This window comes from Homo sapiens, chromosome 5 (genome assembly GCF_000001405.40).
Source record: "Homo sapiens chromosome 5, GRCh38.p14 Primary Assembly".
Classification (NCBI taxonomy): Eukaryota; Metazoa; Chordata; class Mammalia; order Primates; family Hominidae; genus Homo; species Homo sapiens.
The window spans coordinates 127,207,877-127,230,612 of record NC_000005.10 but is presented as its reverse complement, the minus strand read 5'-3'; the positions used below and the strand labels follow the sequence as shown (position 1 = coordinate 127,230,612).

Sequence of the window (22,736 nt, the reverse complement as noted above, 5' to 3'; positions counted from 1 at the left end):
AGTCCCACATTCTCCTTTCCTGACAGACCCAACAATTGTTTATTTTCTTTCTTTCATTCATCTCACTTTCTAAGTCTCTTGGCTCTAGGACTTTTCTCCAAGGATGAACTAAGATCTGGGACTCCCAGAGCAGATTTCACTTGTGTCCTTCCCTCCCTGGGGTGGTCGCTTAGTCCTGGACCTCTCTGCCTTCCCGCTTGGATGTAGACCATTTAAAGGGTGAGCGCCATGCAGTTAGCTTCAAGCCTGGGGACACCGGGGTTTCAACACCAGGGTTTTAATATCGGAGCTTAATTTTGACGCATACTTTTCCCTGCCTTCCAGCTCCACCCCTTTCCCTGATCAATGGGGCTAGGAAGGGGAAAAAGTGAACAGCAAAAACCAGTCCTGAGAAGAAAATGGGATGGAATGGCTGCTGATGAGAGAGCTCTCATCCCCTGAAATCCCACCAATACGCTTTTTTGCTGCCGATGGCCATAGTACTTCACACTTGGGGAACGACATGGACAAACTACAAGGGATATTACAGTCTCATCTGCTGCCTAAAACTAAATTACCAAAAACTAAAATTTTAGATGCCATAAAAATTCACTGATGAACTCTTTCGTTTTTCTTATTGATGCCTCTCTTTTTCATTTATCTCAATTGCCCATTTTTGCTTTCAGGAATAAAGCCAAAAAAACAGAATTCTCCAAGTGTCAAGCAAAAACACATACTTTGCACACGTTTCTCGAGGTCCAGCCCGAAAGCCTGCGCCCTGGGCGTCCCTGCTTCGGCCCCCAGAGGGGGGTGCGCTGCTCGCTCCCCTCGCTCCACCTCCCGCGTAGCCTGCGGGCCCCTGGCGGCCCAGGGCATGGGGCAGAGACGCCATGCCGGCTGATACACACGCCCGGAGGAGGTGAGGGAGGAAGCCACTTGAAAATAAACAGGTGCCGTAAAGGGCATAGGTAGCTTGCCCGGGTTTCCTGCTTCCTGGTCGCTCGCGCTCGCCTCCCCGCCGCCTCGCCTCCCCTCGAGCAGCCTCCGCACCCCGTTCTTTCACTCCTCGGCGCGTGAGCTCCTGGCAGCCTCACCCTTTTGCACATGACGCGCCTCCCCGGGTCTCCCGCAGGCAGGCCTCGCTCCTCCCTCCGCCAGGCCTGCCCGGGAGGCCTCGACCCGGCGAGGTGACCCGCCCCAGGGTCGCCGGCGCGAGGACGAGGCTGGCGGTGCGCTGCTTCCTCAGAGCCGCTTCCTCAGAGCCGGCTGCGGCGGGCCCGGGCGGGAACCACGGAGCCCAGTGCACCAGCCTCCTCGGTGCTACCGCGGGACACAGAGGAAACAGGAACAGCTGGTTTCTGTGGGCAGGCCCCGGGCTGGAACTAGAGCCAGGGTAAGGGAAGCAATAATAACATCTCACATTTGCAAGAGGGCTTTATGCTTTCCAAAACGCACTCACAAATACCCTGGCTTATGTTACTTCCTGTAAGGTGCGCAAGTATTAGGGACCCCTTTTTACAAGTGAGAAAACTGAGCCCATAGGAAGGTTAAGCATTAGTGACAGAGCTGGACTGCACTCCAACGCCACGGTGAGAGGTTTGCCCAAACATCCCTGACCTGTGTAACATCTGTCAGGAGCTTAGCGCGATGAAGATCAGATGACTCAGCGGCTCCAAAGCTTGAGAGCCCTCACTGTGGCCCTTTACTGTGTCCAGGTGCGGCCGGCGGGGGACAGGGAAAGAGATCACAGCGAAGACCCAGAAGAAACAAAAGGCAAGCGAATGTAAGAGCTTCACCACCTTCCCACTCCAGGACGGTGGACAACAAGAGGTTTGAAAGCTGTGATGTCCTCACTGTCTTCCGTCCCTCTCACGGAATGAAAAGTCGTTTTTGCCAGAATATTATACCTGCAAGATCTCACGGGGAGGAGACTGCAGCCCACCCGCTGGAGATTTTTGCCTACAGAAAGCTTCCCTTTTTTTCCAACCCAAAGACAGACTTTTATAGCCTCTCCAACTCCCCTTGAATTTTTAAGAGAGAGAAAGAAAAGCCCCAAAGTGAAAGATAGTGGTCATTTATGCCTTGGAAAGATAAATGGGTGTTTTAGTTTTGTTTTTAAATGAATTTTCCTTTTCTAAAGAATTTCTTTCAAAAAATTAGTGGGAGTTGAGGTGAGGCATGTGTTTTATATTTTTATATCCACTTTAGTAGGTTTTAATATAACGTCTTGAGTCCCTTTTGAATTTCTTTATGACCCAGGTCAAGCTGCCCTGATTCAGGTTCCACGCAGCTAAAAATTAAATTGTAGCTTCCATCCATGTCACAAATATGTAAGCTGGGGAGGTAACCTACTATCAGGCCATATTTACAGAATGGCTAAAAAACTAAGCTAAACTTCTCGAAGATGTCAATACCTAAGTGTCTTTGGGATACTTCCTGAAACTACCTGTGAGAATCTGTTCATTTTTTCTTTTAATTAGGACTTTATTTTACTGAAAAAAAAAAAACTTGAATGAAGAGAGCCAAAGTACATGGTGATGTGAGTGTGAGTCATGGAACTTGTTCTTTTTTCTGAATAATTATTTCACTTAAGAAGACATCCAGATACATCCAGATAATTTGACTATTTGCCGACCTCTTGGATGTACCATAGATTCTTATGCATTGGATCCTTGAAGACTTAACGCTTCAGGATGGCATGCTGGGCACACAAGTTCACTTCCCCCTTGCAAAGCCACATGACATTTACGGTAAAGAAATAAGGCAGAAATAAAGCCATGACACTACTGTGACCAGAAGGAAGGCCATCCGAGAGAAATATACTTTTGTGAAGTTCTTGGCAAGAAGAAAGAGGAGAGGACCAGGCCGGGCGCGGTAGCTCACGCCTGTAGTCCCAGCACTTTGGGACAAGGCGGGTGGATTACAAGGTCAGGAGATCGAGACCATCCTTGCTAACACGGTGAAACCCCGTCTCTACTAAAAGTACGAAAAATTAGCCGGGCGTGGTGGTGGGCGCCTGTAGTCCCAGCTATTGGGGAGGCTAAGGCAGGAGAATGGCGTGAACCCAGGAGGTGGAGTTTGCAGTGAGCCGAGATCATGCCACTGCACTCCAGCCTGGGCAACACTGCAAGACTCCGTCTCAAAAAAAAAAAAAAAAGAAAAGAAAAGATAAATAAAATTGATAATTTGACTATTTGCCGACCTCTTGGATGTACCATAGATTCTTATGCATTGGATCCTTGAAGACTTACACTTCAGGATGGCATGCCAGGCACACAAGTTCACTTCCCCCTTGCGAAGCCACATGACATTTATGGTAAAGAAATAAGGCAGAAATAAAGTCATGACACTACTGTGACCAGTGCAGTGGCATGACCATAACTCACTGCAGCCTCAAATTCCTGGGTTCAAGGGATCCTCCTACCTCAGCCTACTATGGAGTAGCTGAGACTACAGGCACGTGCCACCATGCTTGTCTAATTTTTTTTTTTAAGTACTGGTAGAGATGGGTACCTTGCTTTGTTGCCCAGGCTAGTCTTAAACTCCAGGCCTCAAACCATGCTCCCACCCCAGCCTCCTGAAGCACTAGGATTACAGGCATGAGCCACTGCATCAAGCCCAAAAGAGGCTTCTTATAAAAAAGGAACAACCAGAAAACAAGAAAGGGTTACTGGAAATTAAAAATATGGCTAAAGTGCCTCGTTAGCTCAGTCGGTAGCGCTTCAGTCTCATAAAAATATGGCTGCTAAAAAATTTTACCTGTAACACAAACACTGAAAAATGAAATCAAGGAAATCTACCAAAATGATGAGTAAAAAGAAATAGAAAGTATGAAACAAAAGTTACAATCAGAGAATCAATAGAAGTCCTACACCCGCCTAACAGAACTGTCAGAAGAAAGCTGAAAAAAAAATGTGCAGGAGAAAATCATTGAATAAACCATAGGTGAAGAACGGATAAACAAAATGTGGTATATACATACAATGAAATATTATCCAGTCACAAAAAGGAAAGGAGCTACATGCTACAACATGGATGAACCTTGACAACATTATGCTGAGTGAGAAAAACCACACACAAAGGCACAAAGGCCACATATTGTATGATTCCATTTATATGAAAAGTCCAGAACAGGCAAAGCCATAGAGACAGAGAGTAAATTAGTGGTTTCCAGGGACTGGGGGAAAAGGGTAATGAGTGAGTGATTGCTAATGGGTGTGGGATTTCTTTTGGGGGTGATGAAAATGTTCTGAAGCTAGATTGTGGTGATGGTTGCACAGCTTTGTAAATATAAAAAAACCGTTTCTTTGTATGCTTTAAAAGGGTGAATTTTATGGTGTGTGAATTATTTATTTTTAACTAAAAAAAAAAAGTAGAAGAAAATCTCCAGAACTGAAAATAAAAAGATTGAAGGTTCTATATGAAGCAGAGTAAATATATAGATACTCTCAAATTCATTCTTATGGAATTAAACACTAAAGAAGGGCAGGGAAAAATGCTAAAGAGTGTCAAGAAAAAAGTTACAGAAAAATTAAAATAAAATTGGCATTGAACTTCTCATTTGAAATACCACCAGAAGAAAATGGAACAATGCCTTTTTCACAGTTCTGTAGGAATATGTTATTGACCAAATTAGGATAGGAAATCAGACACCTAGGAAAATAATATCTTCTAAGAAAGTTTTTTTCATTCAACAATAGTATAACTAAGAAGCTGATGTCTTTGTGATATCATGAAGAACACGTGTGTTTCTGTTTGCAACAAGAAAAATGTAAGACAATTAGCAATTTTGGATAAAAAAATAGTTTCAAGAACCAGTGTGTAAATATGAACTAAAGTGTGGCATGATTTTGAAGAAATTGAGTGTGAAGAAAGAGAATCCATTTGATCTCAATGCCTAGAACATGCTTCTATGACTAGTTTAGTGACATAGGATTACATTCCATTTTCTGGGGATTAAACCGCTTAATTCTGCATTTAATTATATATAATGTAGTAAAAAATGTGAAAAGTGGCACTTATTGATTTAAAGCTATAAATGTAGCTGTAGAGGAAATGTAATACATGTGGAGAATAGTAGAAAATAAATTCTTTCAAAGTAGGGAAGGAATATATACTGTCTAAATAATGTGTTCAGTATAGAAGAATAGGCAAATTACCCTAAATTACAGTCTAACCATCAGAGGACTGAAACAGAAGCAATTAAAAGTAGTTGCCTCTGAGGAGGATACTGGGAGCTCGGAATAATACTTGTACTTGCTATTTAACACCATGATATATTTTTCAACATTTTGCTTTACCATATGCATGTATGACATAAATTTTTTTATTATACTTTAAGTTCTAGGTTAACTGTGCACAAAGTGCAGGTTTGTTACATAGGTATACACGTGCCATGTTGGTTTGCTGCACCCATCAACTCGTCATTTACATTAGGTATTTCTCCTAAAGCTATCACTCCCCCAGCCCTCCACCCAACAACAGGCTCCAGTGTGTGATGTTCCCTGCCCTGTGTATGACATGAATTTTTTTAAGAGAGAAAGAACAATTTCCAGGCTTGCAAATTGGCTGTATCATTAGAAATACTTCCAGCAGCAGCATACAGAAACCTTTACTAACAGTGGCTTGCATCATGACATTTGTTATTTGTTTAAAAAGTGATCTAGAGGTAGGCAGAAGGAACTGACTGCAGTCGATTTGGTGGCTTGACGACATCAGCAAGGGCTCAGTTTCTTCCCATCTGTCTGCTCTGCCACCCAAAGTTCTGGCTATGGTCTCCACTCAAGAGCCCAACATAGCTGCTGGCTCCAGGAACCAGTTTTCTCACAGCCACATGCAGTCTCTGGAAGGAAATTACAGAAAAAAAAAAGACTAACTTCCACATGATGATCACCTTTTATTTTCTTTTCTGGAAGCCACCATCCCTTCCTCCTCCAACCCATTCAGCTCCTTTCCATCCTTCTCTTGCATTTCATTGGCCGGAATTAGGTCACTTCCTCACCTCTGAACCAATCACAGGGAATTTAGTTCACCGGAACGGAAGCAGATCTATCATATCTCATCATCTGGAGCTGAGCACATTGCTCCCTGAACAAAATTGGTGTTCTTAATAAAGAAGAAGAGGGCATTGACTGTTAGGTAGGCAATAACTGGGTCTACCAGGCTGACTGACTGATTAACCAGCTACCATCCCTTATGAGGAGACAATTGCCAGCCTGTCTATCAGAGTCACAAAGCCTGGAATCTCTCACAACAAAAGGCTATACAATTCTGAGGCCTTGGTCCTATGTTAATTTAATGTGGATTAATCTTTTGAGATAAAACCATTTAGTCATGTGTTGGCATCTGCAAATTAACACTGGCTTCTGGGGAGAAACTCTGGAGAAAAAAAAAATCACATCACTGCATTTTTCAAAGGTTCAACATCAAAAATTTATCAAGTGTAAAAACCCAGTCTGTTTGATACTGTTAAAATGATTAATATTACAAATAGCTGCTAGAAACAAGGCACATCTGACAACCTGAAGGACTGGAAGGAGAGGCAAACATTTTCCTTTCTGAAGTAGGAAAAGTTAGTTTCATCATTTGCATTTTCCCTCCCTCATATCATTTTATGTCTCTGGCACATTTCCTAAATCAAAGACTTTCCTGGGGATTCTATTTATCAGACAGGTATTGGCTTGCTTTTCAGCAGCCCTATCATAGTTGATTTACTAATATATCCTATAGACTTTCTGCACAATCTATACTGCTAAAGCCCATAGTGCCTCATAATTCCCACCTATTTTAAGTGAAAGACTTAATGTGTAGATGGGATCTGACATATGAGTGCTGCTCACCAGTTCACTGTCAGCAGGTCTGAATAATTAGCACCAGCAGCTCTTCTTTGCAGATATCAATACCTTATATCATAAATGTCAAGCATAGCACAAAGATGCAACTGGAAAACCTCCGAAGGGAAGGGAGCCCATAAATCATGAAGGTTTCACTCTATTTTTCTTCCATTTTACTATCAGAGAATAAACCCAGGGTGGTGAGATTTAAAATCCTGCCCGCCTCTTATTTATTACTTAGCATGGGGCCTTTCCTGAAGCTGGACCCTGGAGGAAGGGCTGATGGGAAGGAGACACCTCAGCCGGGGAGGGATAATGATGCATTCAGGGGTGAGGGGTAAGTGGAAAACAAAACGTCTCAGCAGCACTCCCGGACAGTTCTGTGCCCCTTACCCGTGTGGCTGTGTTGTGTACATTTGGGACTTAGAGGCTGGGAGATTGTACAGTACAGGCTATTGGAGGGGTTGCTTATAAAAAATCATAACCCCCTGCCCTACTCAGTGAAGAAAATAATCTCTTTTATGGTTGGAGAACAAGTGTGAGAATGAATGTTGTAATGTAATGTTCATAAATTTTAATGAACATGCTGAGGACGCCAGGCCCTAAGTAAACACCTCATTCAAACTAGGCCCTAGCTCTGCAGTTAGCAAGGCCACATCCAACCTCACCTCCAACAGTAGGTATCACTCTTCTAACTGCAATTTAATTTAATTTAGAGATGAGGAAGTCTGTACTTCTGAAAAAAACAAAAGCAAAAAACTATTCTATCCTAAGAACTTTGGCACTTTGGCTATTAGAAGGTTCCCACTATATTTAGCTGAGGTTGGTTTCTCTGAAACTCCTTTTGGTTCATCCTACTTCCCCTTCTAGGGTCCCATGGGGATAATTCTACCTTTGTTGTTGTTGTTGTTGTTGTTGTCGTTTTTGAGACAGGATCTCACTCTGTCTCCCAGGCTGGAATGCAGTGGCACAATTAGGGCTCACTGCAGCCTCAACCTCCTAGGTTCAATCAGTCCTCCCACCTCAGGTTCCTAAGTAGCTGAGACTACAAGTGGGTGCCACCACACCTGGCTATTTTTTTTTTAATTTGGGGTTTGAGGGTACATGTGAAGTTTTGTTACATAGATAAACATGTGTCACAGGGGTTTGTTGTACATGTTATTACATCACCTAGTTATTAAGCTTAGTACCCAATAGTTATCTTTTCTGCTCCTCTCCTTCCTCCCACCCTTCTCCCTCTGATAGGCCCCAGTGTCTGTCATTTCCTTCTTCATGTGCATAAGTTCTTATCACTTAGCTCCCACTTATAAGTGAGAACATGCAGTATTTAATTTTCTATTCCTGTGTTAGTTTGCTAAGGATGATAGCCTCCAGCTCTATCCATGTTCCCACAAAAGATATGATCTCATTTTTTTTATGGCTGCGTAATATTCCATGGTATATATGTACCACATTTTCTTGTCCGGTCTGTCATTGATGGGCATTTAGGTTGATTCCATATCTTTGCTGTTGTGAATAGTGTTGCAATGAACATTTGCATGCATGTGTCTTTATGGTAAAATGTGTTATATTCATCTGGGTATATATCTGGAGGACTTGCTGGGTCAAATGGTAGTTCTGCTTTTAGCTCTTTGAGGAATTGCCATACTGCTTTCCACGTGGCTGAACTAATTTACACTCCCACTGAAAATTTATAAGAGTTCCCTTTTCTCCACAACCTTGCCAGTGCCAGCATCTGTTGTTTTTGTTTTTGTTTTTGACTTTTTATTAATAGCCATTCTGACTAGTGTGAGATGGTATCTCATTATGGTTTTGACTTGCATTTCTCTAATGATCAGTGATATTGAGCTTTTTTTAATATGCTTGTTGGCCACATGTATGTCGTCTTTTGAGAAGTGTCTCTTCATGTCCTTTGCCCAGTTTTTAATGGGGTTGTTTGTTTTTCTCTTGTACATTTGTTTAAGTTCCTTATATATGATACTAGACCTTTGTCAGATGCATAGTTTGCAAATATTTTCTCCCATTCTGTAGGTTGTCTATGCACTCTAATAATAGTTTCTTTTGCTGTGCAGAAGCTCTTTAGTTTAAGTAGGTCCCATTTGTCAATTTTTGCTTTTGTCGTGATTGCTTTTAGTGTCTTTGTCATGAAATCTTTGCCTGTTTCTAGGTCCAGGATGGTATTGCCTAGGTTGTCTTCCGCGTTTTTATAGTTTTGGGTTTTACATTTAAGTCTTTAATCCTTCTTGAGTTGATTTTTGTACGTGGTGTAAAGAAGGGGTCCAGTTTCAATCCTTTGCATATGGAGAGCCAATTATCCCTGCACCATTTATAAAATAGGGTATATTTTCCCATTGCTTTTTTTGGTCAGCTTTGTCAAAGATCAGATGGTTGTAGAAGTGTGGCCTCATTTCTGGGCTCTCTATTCTGTTGCATTGGTCTATGTGCCTGTTTTTGTACCAGTACCATGATGTTTTGGTCACTGTAGCCTTGTAGTATAGTTTGCAGTTGGGTGATGTGATGCCTCCAGCTTTGTTCTCTTTGCTTAGGATTGTCTTGGCTATTCAGGCTCTTTTTTGGTTCCATATAAATTTTTAAATAATTTTTTCTAGTTCTGTGATGAATGTTTTGGTAGTTTGATAGGAATAGCATTGAATCTGTAAATTGTTTTGGGCAGTATGGCCATTTTAATGATTCTGATTCTTCCTATCCATGAGCATGGGATGTTTTTTCCATTTGTTTGTGCCTTCTCTGAGTTTTTTGAGCAGTGTTTTGTAATTCTCATTGTAGACATCCTTGACCTCCCTGGTTAGGTGTATTCCTAGGTATTTTATTTTTTATGTGTAGCAATTGTGAATAGGATTTTGATTTCTGATTTGTCTCTCAGTTTCGTTGTTGTTGGTATATAGGAATGCTTGTGATTTTTGTACATTGATTTTGTATCCTGTAACTTTGCTGAAGTTGCTTATCAGCTGAAGGAGCTTTTGGGTCAAGACTGTGGGGTTTTCTAGATATAGAATCATGCCATCTGCAAACAGAGATAGTTTGACTTCCTCTCTTCCTAATTGAATACACCTTATTTCTTTCTCTTGCCTGATTGCTCTGGCTAGGATTTCCAAAACTGTATTGAATAGGAGTAGGGAGAGAGGGCATCCTTGTCTTGTGCCACTTTTCAAGGGGAATGCTTCCAGCTTTTGCCCATTCATTATAATGTTGGCTGTGGGTTTGTCATAGATGGCTCTTATTATTTTGAGGTATGTTCCTTTAATACCTAGTTTATTGAGAGTTTTTAACATGAAGAGATGTTGAATTTTATCAAAAGCCTTTTTATATCTATTGAGATAATCATATGGTATTTGTCTTTAGTTCTGTTTATGTGATGAATCATATTAATTGATTTTCATATGTTGAGCCATCCCAGGGATGAAGCCTACTTGATCGTGGTGGATTAGCTTTTTGATGTGCTGCTGGATTTCGTTTGCCAGTATTTTAGTATATGTGCTGCCAAACTGAGCACATTTGCCAGTATTTTGTTGAAGATTTTTGCATCAATGTTCATCAAGGATATTGGTCTAACGTTTTCTGTTTTTGTTATGTCTATGCCAGGTTTTGGTATCAAGATGATGCTGGCCTCAAAGAATGAGTTGGGGAGAAGTCTCTCCTCCTCAATTTTTTGGAATAGTTTCTGTAGGAATGGTATCAGCTCTTATTTGTACATCTGGTAGAATTCATCTGTGAATCCATCAGGTCCTGGGCTTTTGTTGTTGGTGGTGGTGGTAAGCTATTTATTACTGATTCAATTTCGGAGCTTGTTATTGGTCTGTTCAGGGAATCCATTTCTTTCTGGCTCAGTCTTAGGAGGGTTAATTTCTGTGTATCTTCTTTTTCTTCTGGAATTCCTTAGTGTAATTGAAAGCTGCTGCCTCAGACCTCCTGCACAGCAAGCTGACCAACCCTAGGCTCTTTCAGCATTCATCATGTGACAAAATTTCAGTCCCTCCTCTCAGTAAAGCACTGACTACCTGGCCCTCTTAAAGTAAATTCACCCAAACAACAAGTAAAATACAATAGCAACAACAACAATAATAATGCTTATTAATTTTTCAGCACTTACTGTGTGCCAGGTACTCTGCTAGGTGCTTTATTTTTTATCATCTTATTTCATTCTTACAAAAACACTATACAGTAGCTGTTTTTATACCCCCAATTTACAGATGAAGAAACTAAAATTCAAAAACATAAGGTGCTACCTTTACATGGTCCATATGAGGCACAGTCAGGATTGACTAGGGCTGAAGTTCTTAGCCCCTGCACCATCACCTGGAGCCAGAACTATCACTTCCCTACTTTTACGAATATGAGGAAGGACTGAATTTACTCTTTTTATTGGCTCTTAGGGATTTTTTTCCCAAATCTGTATCTTCAGCCTACACCTCTGTCTTGGGTTCTAGATTTTTATATCCAACTGCCTACTGGACACCAACCACGTGGACAAGTCCTGGTTGCCTCAAACTCAACATGTTCAAAGCTGAATACATCACCTGCTCTCCCAAATATGCTCCTCTCCTGCTGTTCCCAAAATCAGAAAATGGCTTCACGATCAGCTCAGTCATCTCAAGAGCAAATGCTGAGAGTCACCCTTGAATCCTTCTGTTGCCTCCACATTCAAACCATCACCATATCCTTGATTTCTCTACTGTATATTTTTCATATGTGTCCACTTCTTTCCATCTGCACTCTCATTAGTGAAGGCCACCAACATCTCTCATCTGAATGCCTGCAATACCTCCTCACAGGTCACCAGGCATCTAGTTTTGCCCCTGTCCTGCCCTTCCCTCATCTAGAGTGAAGCCAGTAGGAACCTTCCAAAATGAAAATCTGATTAAGTCACTTCTTTGCTTAAAACTTTTTTATGGTTTCACAGCCCATGAAAATAGTATCCAATGTCTTTAAGTGCATTGCAAAACTCTTCAAGGCCTCCCTCTCCAATCCTTCTAGTCCTCCCTCCCCAGTTTCATCACTCATTATATACCCCATAACCTTTATGCCAGAGTTGTCATGAACCTCCTCCCATTCCTTCAGTATTTTATGTCTTTTTGCCTTCAGGTCTTTACACATGTTGTTCCTTCATATTGAAATATTCTTTCCTCTCCCCATTGCCTGGTAGATTAACTCCTGTTTATCCTTCAGATGTCAGCCTTAATGTCACTCTCTCAAGGTGAACATCCCTGAATTCTCTGATGCATTACATAGGATACCGTTTTTATTCTGCCATTGTATGTGTCACCCTTTATTGTTAAGAAACATTTAAATAAGAAATATTTAATTGTTAATAAACAGTTTTAAATAAAAAATATTTATTTGTTTCCATAAGGAAATTAATTGTGTCTGTCTTACTCGTCATTAAATCCCGGAATATCATTAAAGCACTAAACAAAGATAAGACTTGAAAAATATTTGTTGACCAATGAATAAAGGAATTAATGAATATTCATAAAAATAGGGAAGTGATAGTTCTGGCTCCAGGTGACGGAGCAGGGGCTAAGAACTTCAGCCTTAGTCAATCCTGACTGTGCCTTCTATGGACCATGTAAGGGTAGCACCTTATGTTTTTGAGTTTCTGTTTCTTAATCTGTAAATCGAGGGTATAAAAATGAACGAATGCCAGTTGAAATCCTGGTCAAACAGTGCACCTAAGAATCTCTTCTTCAACATGTATGTGTGAACTTGACGTTTTGGATTCCAGAGAGGATATCACATTTATTCCCCACTAACCTTCCTGTTGTTGGGTTCAGTACATTTTTTTCGGATTGCTGAGATGTTTTTAGATCCTGATTCTCTTACCTATTCTCTAGCATATTAGCTATCACTGCCAATTTCATGTTATCTGAAAACTTGATTAGCATATCTTCTGTATCTTCATTAAGCAAGGGCAGAGCTAGTGACCCCCCATTAGATACCCATCTCTATTAATCAGCACCTATTGAGTATGCTAATTCAATCAGGTTCAAACATGCTACATTTTCTCATCCTCAAGAATATCATGGGTAAACTTGTCAAGAGCCTTGATGAAGCCCAAATCAAGATTACTATAATTCTCCAAACCCACAGTTCTCAATTTTCTTGGCCTATCACACTGACAGATAATATTCAGATAGTATCCCCTGAGCATACTGAATTTGTTGTGAAATTCCCAGAAGCAAAACTAAAACTCTACCTCTCCCTCTCTCTCCCACTAAAGAAATCATACTGTGGAGCAACTGGATGACTGGGGCTGTAATGACAGCCAGCAGGAGTCCTGGCTATTCTAGAGCTGAGGCTCAGCTGTGTGCCTGACAGCTGGCCACCAAGTGGTCACTCCCACCTACACAGCATTTCTGCAATTCATGCTTGGGCAGTCAGCCTGTCTGTCCCCTCCAAGGAGAATGCAACATTTCAGCAACCTTACCTCTGCCCTGACTCTACATTCTTCTTAGATGGCACTTTATTCTTCCTGATTCCATTTCCTGGTGGTCTGCAAACATACTGGAATGAAAATAGATCTATGTGGTTAAACTGATTCAATTAAAATCAGTAGAGACTAAGAAGGGCAAGGACATTTTACCTGGAGAACTAGATATTCCACCAAAACAATTGTATTGTGAAGCACCAATTGGCTATGCAACGCATTACCCCACTGCCCTAGTTGACTGACTCTGAAGTCCTAGAATTGCATGAGATGACTAATGCCAGCATAAACTATATCCATGAATGAAGCAGGGATCAGTGAGACATACGTCATCTACTGCACACTGATTGCAGGAGGCATCGAAGCAATTGAGACAGAAAAAATATGTTTATTCTTTGACAGTGAAACCACTTTAATTACTGGTGCTGGGTAAGGTCTCTTGGGCAGGGTCCTCAAAGAAAACTAGAAATTGAATTCTCTAAGAGAGTGGGTACAAAGAATTGTGATATCGTAACATCCCATTTCTAATCTACCATGCTTTGTGGACTAAGATTCTATCTATATACTGGCAATCAGATCAGTAGAAGACAACAGTCGAGAGAAATACAGAGAAAACAGCTAGAGCAGAGATATGTCAGATGTCCAGGCAGTGAGGGAACGTAAATGTGAGATTGGACCAAGAACTTGTGAAATAGGCAGACATAAGGATTACTGGTTGTGGCATTTACTGCTCATTGCCTCCTAAGTCCTCTCCCCACTACTTTCTTATAAAAGAATCCTGAATTTTTTAAAGCAGGATACATTGTTATTTAGCTAAAAGATTATATTTTCCATGTTCCCTCTCAGTCAGCTTAGGATATAACTAGTTTTGGCCAACGAGCTGTGTGAAGAGGTGTTGCATGCTAAGTTCAGGAAATCTTCTTGTAAGGGAGGGGGTACATTCCTTCTCTTACCTTCCTGCATCATGCCTTGGAATGGCGATATAATGGCTAGACCCAGGTAGAATTCTTGGACTGTGAGGTGGCCTTGAGAATAGAAACCACACACAGAACACAGCAAAACCAGTGCCTGCTTCTGGCCCTGTTGCTGCCACACCAGCCCTGGATTGCCTTATCTCCAGGTTTCCTTTGTGTGAGCAAGATATAAACTATCTTGTCTAAGATATAATTTTTCAGGGCATTGTTTCTTGCAGCCAAAGCTCCAAATCATCTCTGCTCCCTCTTCTAAGTGTTCGCAAAAGACCCAGGCTCAGCTCCCCTGTCTGGCTGCCCATGCTTATCACAGGAAGAGCCAGGCCAGTTAGCTCAGGCCTCACTCTTACAAGGGTCCTCAAATGTAAGCTTTTAAGCTCCTCCTCAAATGAGATTTTACAGAGTCTTTGTGGGACTTCTGGTGTTAAAAGCATTGATTTGTCTGCCACACTTGGAATCCTGTTTTGAAATTTTTAATATTTTTTTAATATCCCAAATGTCTTAGTCTGCTTTGTGTCACTATAAAGGAATACCTGAGGTTGGGTAATTTATAAAGAAAGAGGATTATTTAGCTCATAGTTCTGCCCCCTGTACAAGAAGCATGGTGCCAGCATCTGCTTGGCTTCTAGTGAGGGCTTCTGGGCTGTGTCAAAACATGGTAGAGAAGGTCCAAGGGAAAGCGGGCATGTTCAAACCTATGGGGCATCCTGGCTTTATAACAACCCACTCCTGAGGGAATTAATCCATTCCCCTGAGGACTGAGCCAGTCTTGAAAATGATAGAACTTACAACCCCAGAAGGACACTGAGCCACTCATGAGAGATCCACCACCATGACCCAAACACCTCCTACCAGGCCCCACCTCCCAACACTAGATCAAATTTCAACATGAGATTTGGTGGGGACAAACAAACCATATTCAAACCATAGTATTAAGACCCTCAAATAAATAGAAGCCACGCATAGCCCAAGGGTGACTGTGCTTGCTGCCATTGGTCTCCTGTCAGTACTGATGCCAGAACCTGGTCTAAGACTCTTATGGTCCCTCATTTCTCCCAACTGTCCCCAGAACAGAGTCCTAAACAAATAACACCTAAGTCACCAGTGAAGTTAATGTTTGATCACTTTTATTTTTTTTTTTTTTATTTTTTTTTTTTTTGAGATGGAGTCTTACTCTGTCACCAAGGCTGGAGTGCAGTGGTGTGATCTCGGCTCACTGCAACCTCTGCCTCCCAGATTCAAGCGATTCTCCTGCCTCTGCCTCCCCCAAGTAGCTGGGACTACAGGCACTCAGCCACCATGCCCATCTAATTTTTGTATTTTCAGTAGAGACGGGGTTTCACCATGTTGGCCAGGCTGGTCTTGAACTCCTGACCTCAGGTAATCTGCCCACTTTGGCCTCCCAGAGTGCTGGGATTACAGGCGTGAGCCATCATGCCTGGCCCATTTAAGATTCTTGTTTGGCTATTCTAAAATTCACATGGAACCAAAAAAGAGCCCAAATAGCCAAGGCAATCCTAAGCAAAAAGAACAAAGCTGGGGGCATCACGCTACCTGCCTTCAAACTATACTATAGGGCTACAGTAATCAAAACAGCATAGCACTGTTACAAAAACAGACACATAGGCCAATGGAACAGAATAGAGAATCCAGAAATAAAGCCACACACCGACAGCCATTGGATCTTCAACAAAGTCTACTAAAATAAACAGTGGGGAAAGGACTCCCTATTCAACAAATGGTGCTGGGATAACTGGCTAGCTATATGCAGAAGAATGAAACTTTACCCTTACCTTTCCCCATATACAAAAATTAACTCAAGATATATTAAGGATTTAAGTACAATACCTCAAACTATAAGAATCCTAGAAGAAAACCTAGGAAACCCTATTTGGGACACTGGCCTTGAAAAATAATTTATGGCTAAGTCCCCAGAAGCAATTGCAACAAAACACAAAAATTGACAAGTTGGACCTAATTAAACTTCTTAAAGAGCTTCTGTACAGCAAAAGAAATTGTCACAGAGCAAACAGAAAACGTACAGAAAGTGAGAAAATATTTGCAAACTATGCATTCAACAAAGGTCTAATATCCAGAATCTATAAGGAACTTATAAGCCAATAAGAAAAATATAAATAACCCCATTATAAAATGGGCAAAGGACATGAACAGACACTTCTCAAAAAATATATATATATAAGCAGCCAACAAACATGAAAAAATGCTCATCGGCTGGGTGCAGTGGCTCACACCTGTAATCCCAGCACTTTGGGAGGCCAAGCGGGCAGATCACCTGAGGTCAGGAGTTCTAGACCAGCCTGGCCAACATGTTGAAACCCCTTCTCTATAAAAATATGAAAAAATTAGCTGGGCTGGTGGTGGGCACCTGTAATCCCAGCTACTCAGGAGGCTGAGGCAGGAGAATCACTTGAACCCGGGAGGCAGAGGCTGCAGTGAGCCGAAATCACAACACTACACTCCAGCCTGGGTGACAGAGTGAGACTCCATCTCAAAAAAAAAAAGAAAACTCATCATCACTAATCATCATAGAAGTGCAAATCAAAACCACAATGAAATGCCATCTCGCACCAGCCAGAATAACTATTATTAAAAGGTCAAAAAACAGCAGATGTTGGCAAGGCTGAGGAGGAAAGGAAAGGGAATGCTTATACACTGTTGGTGAGAATGTAAATTAGTTCAGCCACTGTGAGAAGCAGTTTGGGGGTTTGTCAAAGAACTTAAGACAGAACTACCATTAGATCCAGCAATCCCATTACTGAGTATATATTCAAAAGAAAATAAATCATTCTACCACAAGACACATGCACTCATATGTTCATTGCAGTACTATTCACAATAGCAAATACATGGAATCAACCTAGGTGCTCATCAGTGGTGGATTGCATAAAGAAAATATGGTACATCTATACCGTGGAATACTATGCAGCCATAAAAAACAATGAAGTCATATCCTTTGCAGCAACATGAATGCAGCTGGAGTCCATTATCCTAAGCAAATTAACGCAGGAACAGAAAACCAAATACCACATATTCTTACATATAAGTGGAAACTTAACACTGGGTACTCATGGAAAAAATGTGGCAACAATAGACACTGGGGACTACTAGAGAATGGAGAGAGGGAGGGGGAAAAGGGTTGAAAAATTAACTATTGGGTACTGTATTCACTCACTACCTGGGTGACAAGATCAACTGTACCCCAAACCTCAGCATCACACAATATACCCATGTAAAAAATGTGCACATGTAGCCCCTGAATCTAAAATATACATTGAAATTATCTAAATAAATAATTTATAAATTTAAAATTTAATGTTTGAGGAAATAGATGGGAGAACAGATTGTTGTGTTGCAGCCAGCCCAGTTCTATACATCTGAATAGGAGAGTAAGGGAGGTAGGCTCCATGCCTCTGGTGGAGTTCAAAGTGAACAAGAAGATGCCACCTGAGAAGGGAATTGGATGACAAACTTAGCTTTCACTCAGGACCCTCAGCTCCAACAGCCCTTGCTAGACATGCTTCTTGTCATAACCCAGGGTCGAAGTCTTCTGGGGAGAGGGGGCAGTGATCAAGCTCAAGGGCTGTGTGTTCTGCAGGGCATCTCCTCCATAGAAAGATGCCTCAGAGAAACTGGAGCCCAGCTACCATCTATGAAGAAAGGTTGCAGTGGGATCCCTGGGGACTGTGGGATGAGAGCCTTCACTGATCCTCAGGTCTAACTCATTACTTTGCAGGCAGCAACACTGTCAGCCTGATATCAGAGCTGGTGGATCAAGTGGCTATTCCTACTCTCCTGCTCAGGGAATAACATGACCCAGATGATTGTCACCCCCAATAAAGACCCCATAGAGAGAAAAGATTGCCATCCCCTATGTTAGAGAGGCAAAAGGCATATCCTCAAATATCTTAGTTCCCCTTACTAACACATTTAGCTCTGTCATTATGAATTTATCTACAGCTTTCTAAAAAGCCTGTATCTTGGGATAACAAGTTCCATGTTTTCATTATCCATAATGACAGGCGGCTGGTCATTCCACTGATTTGTTCTAAATTACTCAGCATTTTCAAGTCTGGATAATGCAACCTTTTAAATTAGGTCAACTATTCTGTCACCATGTCCAACAGTCACAGGGTTGTTATTGAACTTGAACAAGAGTCGGTCCCCATCTGGCAGTCACAAAACAAGCTGAGCCTGGCTTTAAGGATCAAAAGGCATCCATTCCTCTCCACCTTCTGGAGAACTTGGGCCTCTGGACTCATCTGGATTACTATCCCTTGAGATGAGGCTAGGGATCAGTCTCTAAGGAAATTATAGGGAAATCATGTGGTAGCAGCTTCAACAAAGCAAGATCAGTTGCTTGTGTTCTTCTTGTCACCCCAGCACTCCCCTAGACACCTGCCCTGTTCCCATAGCAAAAGTTAAACTCTTCATCTTCACATCAATAAGTAAAATATCTTTATCCAAATAGAATAAAGCAAATTCATGGACCACAGCTGAGCCTCTCTGACTATCAAGTATAAAACTATAGTCTCTCTTGCATGAACATCTATTTTTTTCTGACTATCCATCTGTTCTTTCTTCTCAGGCTCTTGGTTTTTCTATGAACTCGAGCAATCTTATCATTTTTTCAGGAGATAGCTGAATCAAAGTAGGTACATTTCTGAATCCAAAAAAAAGAGAGTGATATTAGATCAAAAGGAAATATTTTAAGTGGTTTCTAGATTCTAAGGGTATCTCAACTCTCCGTCTTTGAGCTTCATCCCTATCTTTGACATATTTCAATTGGTAAGTTATGAAGTAATTAAAATATTTCTCCCAGGCTCCCTAGTTCTTACCTAACTGCAAATTGGTTTTTCTTCAGCTCTTAGCAATTCTCATCTGATGTACTTTATGACCAGAAACTCAGGCTACCATGGGACTATTTTGACCATTTTGGAAGGAGTCAATATTGTTCTGCTGGAAAAAACTAATTCTAAAGTATCAAGCAGGCATTCATTGGCCACACAGTCATTCAGTCTGACAGTGATGATAATATTCCAAGTCACTGAATGTTGTCATTTACTTTCAAGTCATTGGGTCCTTACCATGTGCTGAATGCCTCATTCTGTGATCTGTCGAGGCTTTTGATGGAGTAATTTCTCCTAGTGAGTTTTCTGTTAAAATTTGTTCACATATAAACCACCCATATCATTTACCAATTCCATTTGACATTTGCTAAAATATAACCCCAAGATGAGTTCATGAGTTTGGAAATGGTATATAATGCAAGTCTCAAAGAAATCTGAAACACAGGTGATCATTATAGCTGATTGTCTTTTGGAATTGCTGAACAATGCTTGGGGCAAAATACTGTCCACAATGCTAAGGAGAATAGTACTTGTAAAGTTCCTACCTTCTACTTTGGACATTGAAACCTAAATAGGGGAAAATCTTAAGGCCCACTGTTAACACCATTGTTTGATGAGCTCCAAGGTTCAATATAACATAAAGTTATATTGACCCCCGAACATGCTCCCCTATGTAGGGAAGAATATTCCCTATCTTTATCAGCAGGGTGTTTTTATTCAGTACATGTGAAGGTTTTCTCCAATATATTTCTAATTTGTGGTTAAGTCACCCTCATAAGGGACATTTCAGAAGCAGATATCCCTGGAAAATATTGCATATCACACATATTGCCATTTCTAACAAAGTCTTTTAAAGTAAACTTGGGGTTGATTCACAGAAGTATTCATGTTGCATTTTCATTTTGAATATTTAAAAACTCCTCTTACCTGGTTCTTTAACAAAGAAAAGAACAAAGGAAGCCAGCCCAAGAATAGTCAGAATATCTTGGTCTGAAAACGCAAGAAAAAGGCATCTAAAGACTATCTAAAAGTTCTGGTCCCTCTAGTGTGCCTCGGCAGCCACTGGGCAAGCATCTATTCAGTAAAATCCTGCTGGTTTTCAGTTTTCACTTTGTCTTTTTACAAGCATAGCCTGCACGCTCTGGGCCCACAAGATGAATGATTAGGGAGGTGTCAAGTGGAGAAATGCTGCCAAGCCTGGCAAATGAGTTTGTAGTTAATGTCAATGCCGGTTTTTCCAGATGCTTTCAAATATTTGAAGGACATTGCTTGAATGATGAGCTTTTAACCTTGCAGCTGGTCATTTGTTTTTCTGATTAGGACATGCCACTGTCTCAACTTCCAGGTGGTTGTTCACCATAGGCAATAATGGCCTCTTGTTTACTAATCTCCAAACTGTGCCACATGTTCCTGGCTCATCATCATGTGTAATCCTGCCTCTGAGTGCCAAACAATTGTGGAGAATCACTTTTGATCTTTTTCTCTTTGTTGTGTCAGAGATAATCATAGAATATTTAAAAGTCTAGCATTTACAGAGGGAAACAAATAGTGTGTGTGTGTGTGTGTGTGTGTGTGTGTGTGTGTGTGTGTGTGTTTTAAGACAGCAAATGTGGAATCAGGGAGTTCCAAAATACAGAGCAAAACAATTCAACAAAATGCATTTTCCAAAGTAAAATAAGGAAAGATGAAACCCAGGTAAAAACACTGCACCTCAGAAATGTTTTACATTAGCCAATTGCTATGGTTTAAATGTCCCCTCCAAAATTCATGTTGAAACTTAATCTCCAATGTGTCAAGTATTGAAAGGCAGGGTCTTTAAGAGGTGAATGGATTGTATCAATTCATTCATTGCTTAATGTATCAATAATGGGTTATAATGGGAGTGATACTGATGGCTTTACAAGAAGAGGAAGAGAGACTTGAGCCAGCACATTCAATCTTCTCACCATGTGATTCCCTGTACCACCTTGAGACTATCCTGAGTCCCTACCAGCAAGAAGGCCCTTACCAGATGCAGCCCTGGAGCTTGGATTAAACCTGCATAACTATCTTTATAAATTACCCAATTTCAGGTATTCTGTTGGAAGCAACAAAAAACAGACTAAGACACCAATCAAGCCCTAAACTTTACAGTTTAGCATTTCATTTGTTGCATTTATAATTTACTTAATTTCTATCCATCCATACCCTCCCCTTGTGAACTTTAATAAAATCAGGGATTTTAGCAAAACCCCAGTGGTATGTACTTTCAGAATTGAGCAAAATTCCATTATTATAGTAGGCTCTGAATGATTGTTTTATTCTCTGGATAAGAGAAAGCCATGATTGCTAAGACTACAGTGGTGCATAATACAGTAAATCAGCTTAATGATGTGTGAATAAAACTATATTAAGAAAAAAAGGCTTGTTTCCCTGGATTCAAAAGGAGAAAGAAAAAAAACAATTCTGGGTGCTTCAGGGAGACCAGAAAATCTATACCACAGAGTTCTAGGATTTTTTTCAAAGCCTTAAACCAACATGAGAAAACTGAAGTATCTTGGCCAAAAGCAGTCTCATGAATAACCCACTGAGAGTGAGATCTCAGCTTGGTTTTATATTTACACAATGTATCCAGAAGTTAAAAATTTGAAAAGCACCAAAGAACTAATCATGGCTTGAAGGGGTATGCTGGGGAGGTGGTGAGAGAACACTCTTTTTTCCATGTCAACGTGAGATCCTAATGTTCATTGCAGTTGTCATAACAACTGTTTTTAAATAAAATTTGTATTATTCATCAAATATTGGCATCCTGAACATGGTGCCATCTAAAAATTATCACCTATTCTTATATCCATACAACTGGCTTGTGTGGCTAAGGGAGAGAAAAGGTATAATTCTGTGTCATGGCAGAGATTCTCAGCTAAGAAGGGAAGGCTTCCAAGAATGCTCCATTGTCCCAATTTGCTCCTCTAATTTCCCATTTTCAGAATCATCACCCACCTGTGCCAGAAAATATTTGGGGGATACAGCAGAGTGATACAGCCAACAAGACAATGGTTCAAGTTGCTGTACACTAAATGGGAAACTTCAGTGAATAATACAAAAGGCTACAGTATAAGCCCCTTTCCTATTCCAAGTTCCTGCCCCCTGGCCATAGCTAACCCTCATACTAGTTTGTATGCATATGCAAACATATATTTTTATTTTTTCATTATTTCATTCAACATTTAAAATTGTATACACACTGTTCTGCACCTGAATCTTTTCACTTAACATATCCTGGAGAATACTTAATAACAGTAGTATATAGAGAGCTACTTTATTTTTTTTCACGACGGCATGGCTTCATTTCTATTGGTTGCTGTTTAGCTTATTTCAGTGTTTTGGCCCTGTAAATAACACTGCAATGTGTATCTTGGCCTTTTGTCTTTATTGCCATAGCCTTTCAATGGGCCTCCTTGTCTTCCAAATTAATCCTCTCCAGCTTTCTAATTTTCCACATTCCCTCAGAATATCTCCAAATTCCTCAATAGGTAAAAATCCTCCATTTGGTGCCGCCTGTCTTTTAGCCTCACCTCCTACCACTACCCACCAAGCACTCATCATGCTGCCCGTGCTGAAGCAACAGCTAAAATACTGCTGGTTTACTCATGCTGCCATA

The 22,736-nt window shown here is 40.9% G+C and overlaps 2 protein-coding genes across 2 annotated transcripts in view, besides 2 other annotated features; one reads left to right on the top strand and one right to left on the bottom strand.

Annotated features, from left to right (window-relative positions):
- Window positions 1-1,313, bottom strand: part of MEGF10 (multiple EGF like domains 10) — a 231,923-nt gene extending 230,610 nt beyond the window's left edge. Inside the window, exon 1 of the mRNA XM_017009987.2 lies at window positions 717-1,313. The gene's annotated coding sequence lies outside the window, so the exon portion shown is untranslated. The remainder of the gene's footprint in view (window positions 1-716) is intronic.
- On the top strand, window positions 229-12,092 carry LOC105379198 (uncharacterized). Its single transcript, XM_041680488.2, has 5 exons — window positions 229-233; window positions 666-898; window positions 952-1,372; window positions 1,695-1,762; window positions 11,261-12,092. Exons 1-5 carry the CDS (start codon window positions 229-231, stop codon window positions 11,656-11,658), a joined length of 1,125 nt encoding a protein of 374 aa, XP_041536422.1. The 3' UTR covers window positions 11,659-12,092.
- Window positions 712-771: a silencer, noted in NCBI's record as "silent region_16292". NCBI's record gives its function as "represses an Ori minimal core promoter by ATAC-STARR-seq in GM12878 lymphoblastoid cells {active_cell/tissue: GM12878}" and the evidence as "EXISTENCE:reporter gene assay evidence [ECO:0000049][PMID:35858748]".
- Window positions 922-1,341: a silencer, noted in NCBI's record as "silent region_16291". NCBI's record gives its function as "represses an Ori minimal core promoter by ATAC-STARR-seq in GM12878 lymphoblastoid cells {active_cell/tissue: GM12878}" and the evidence as "EXISTENCE:reporter gene assay evidence [ECO:0000049][PMID:35858748]".
- Window positions 12,093-22,736: the final 10,644 nt, after the last annotated feature.

Excerpts from the sequence above, each read along its gene's own strand:
- LOC105379198 (XM_041680488.2), top strand. Across the intron at positions 899-951 it reads GATACACACGCCCGGAGGAG|CTTGCCCGGGTTTCCTGCTT; the intron begins GTGAGGGAGGAA and ends GGGCATAGGTAG. Across the intron at positions 1,373-1,694 it reads GGGCTGGAACTAGAGCCAGG|GTGCGGCCGGCGGGGGACAG; the intron begins GTAAGGGAAGCA and ends TACTGTGTCCAG.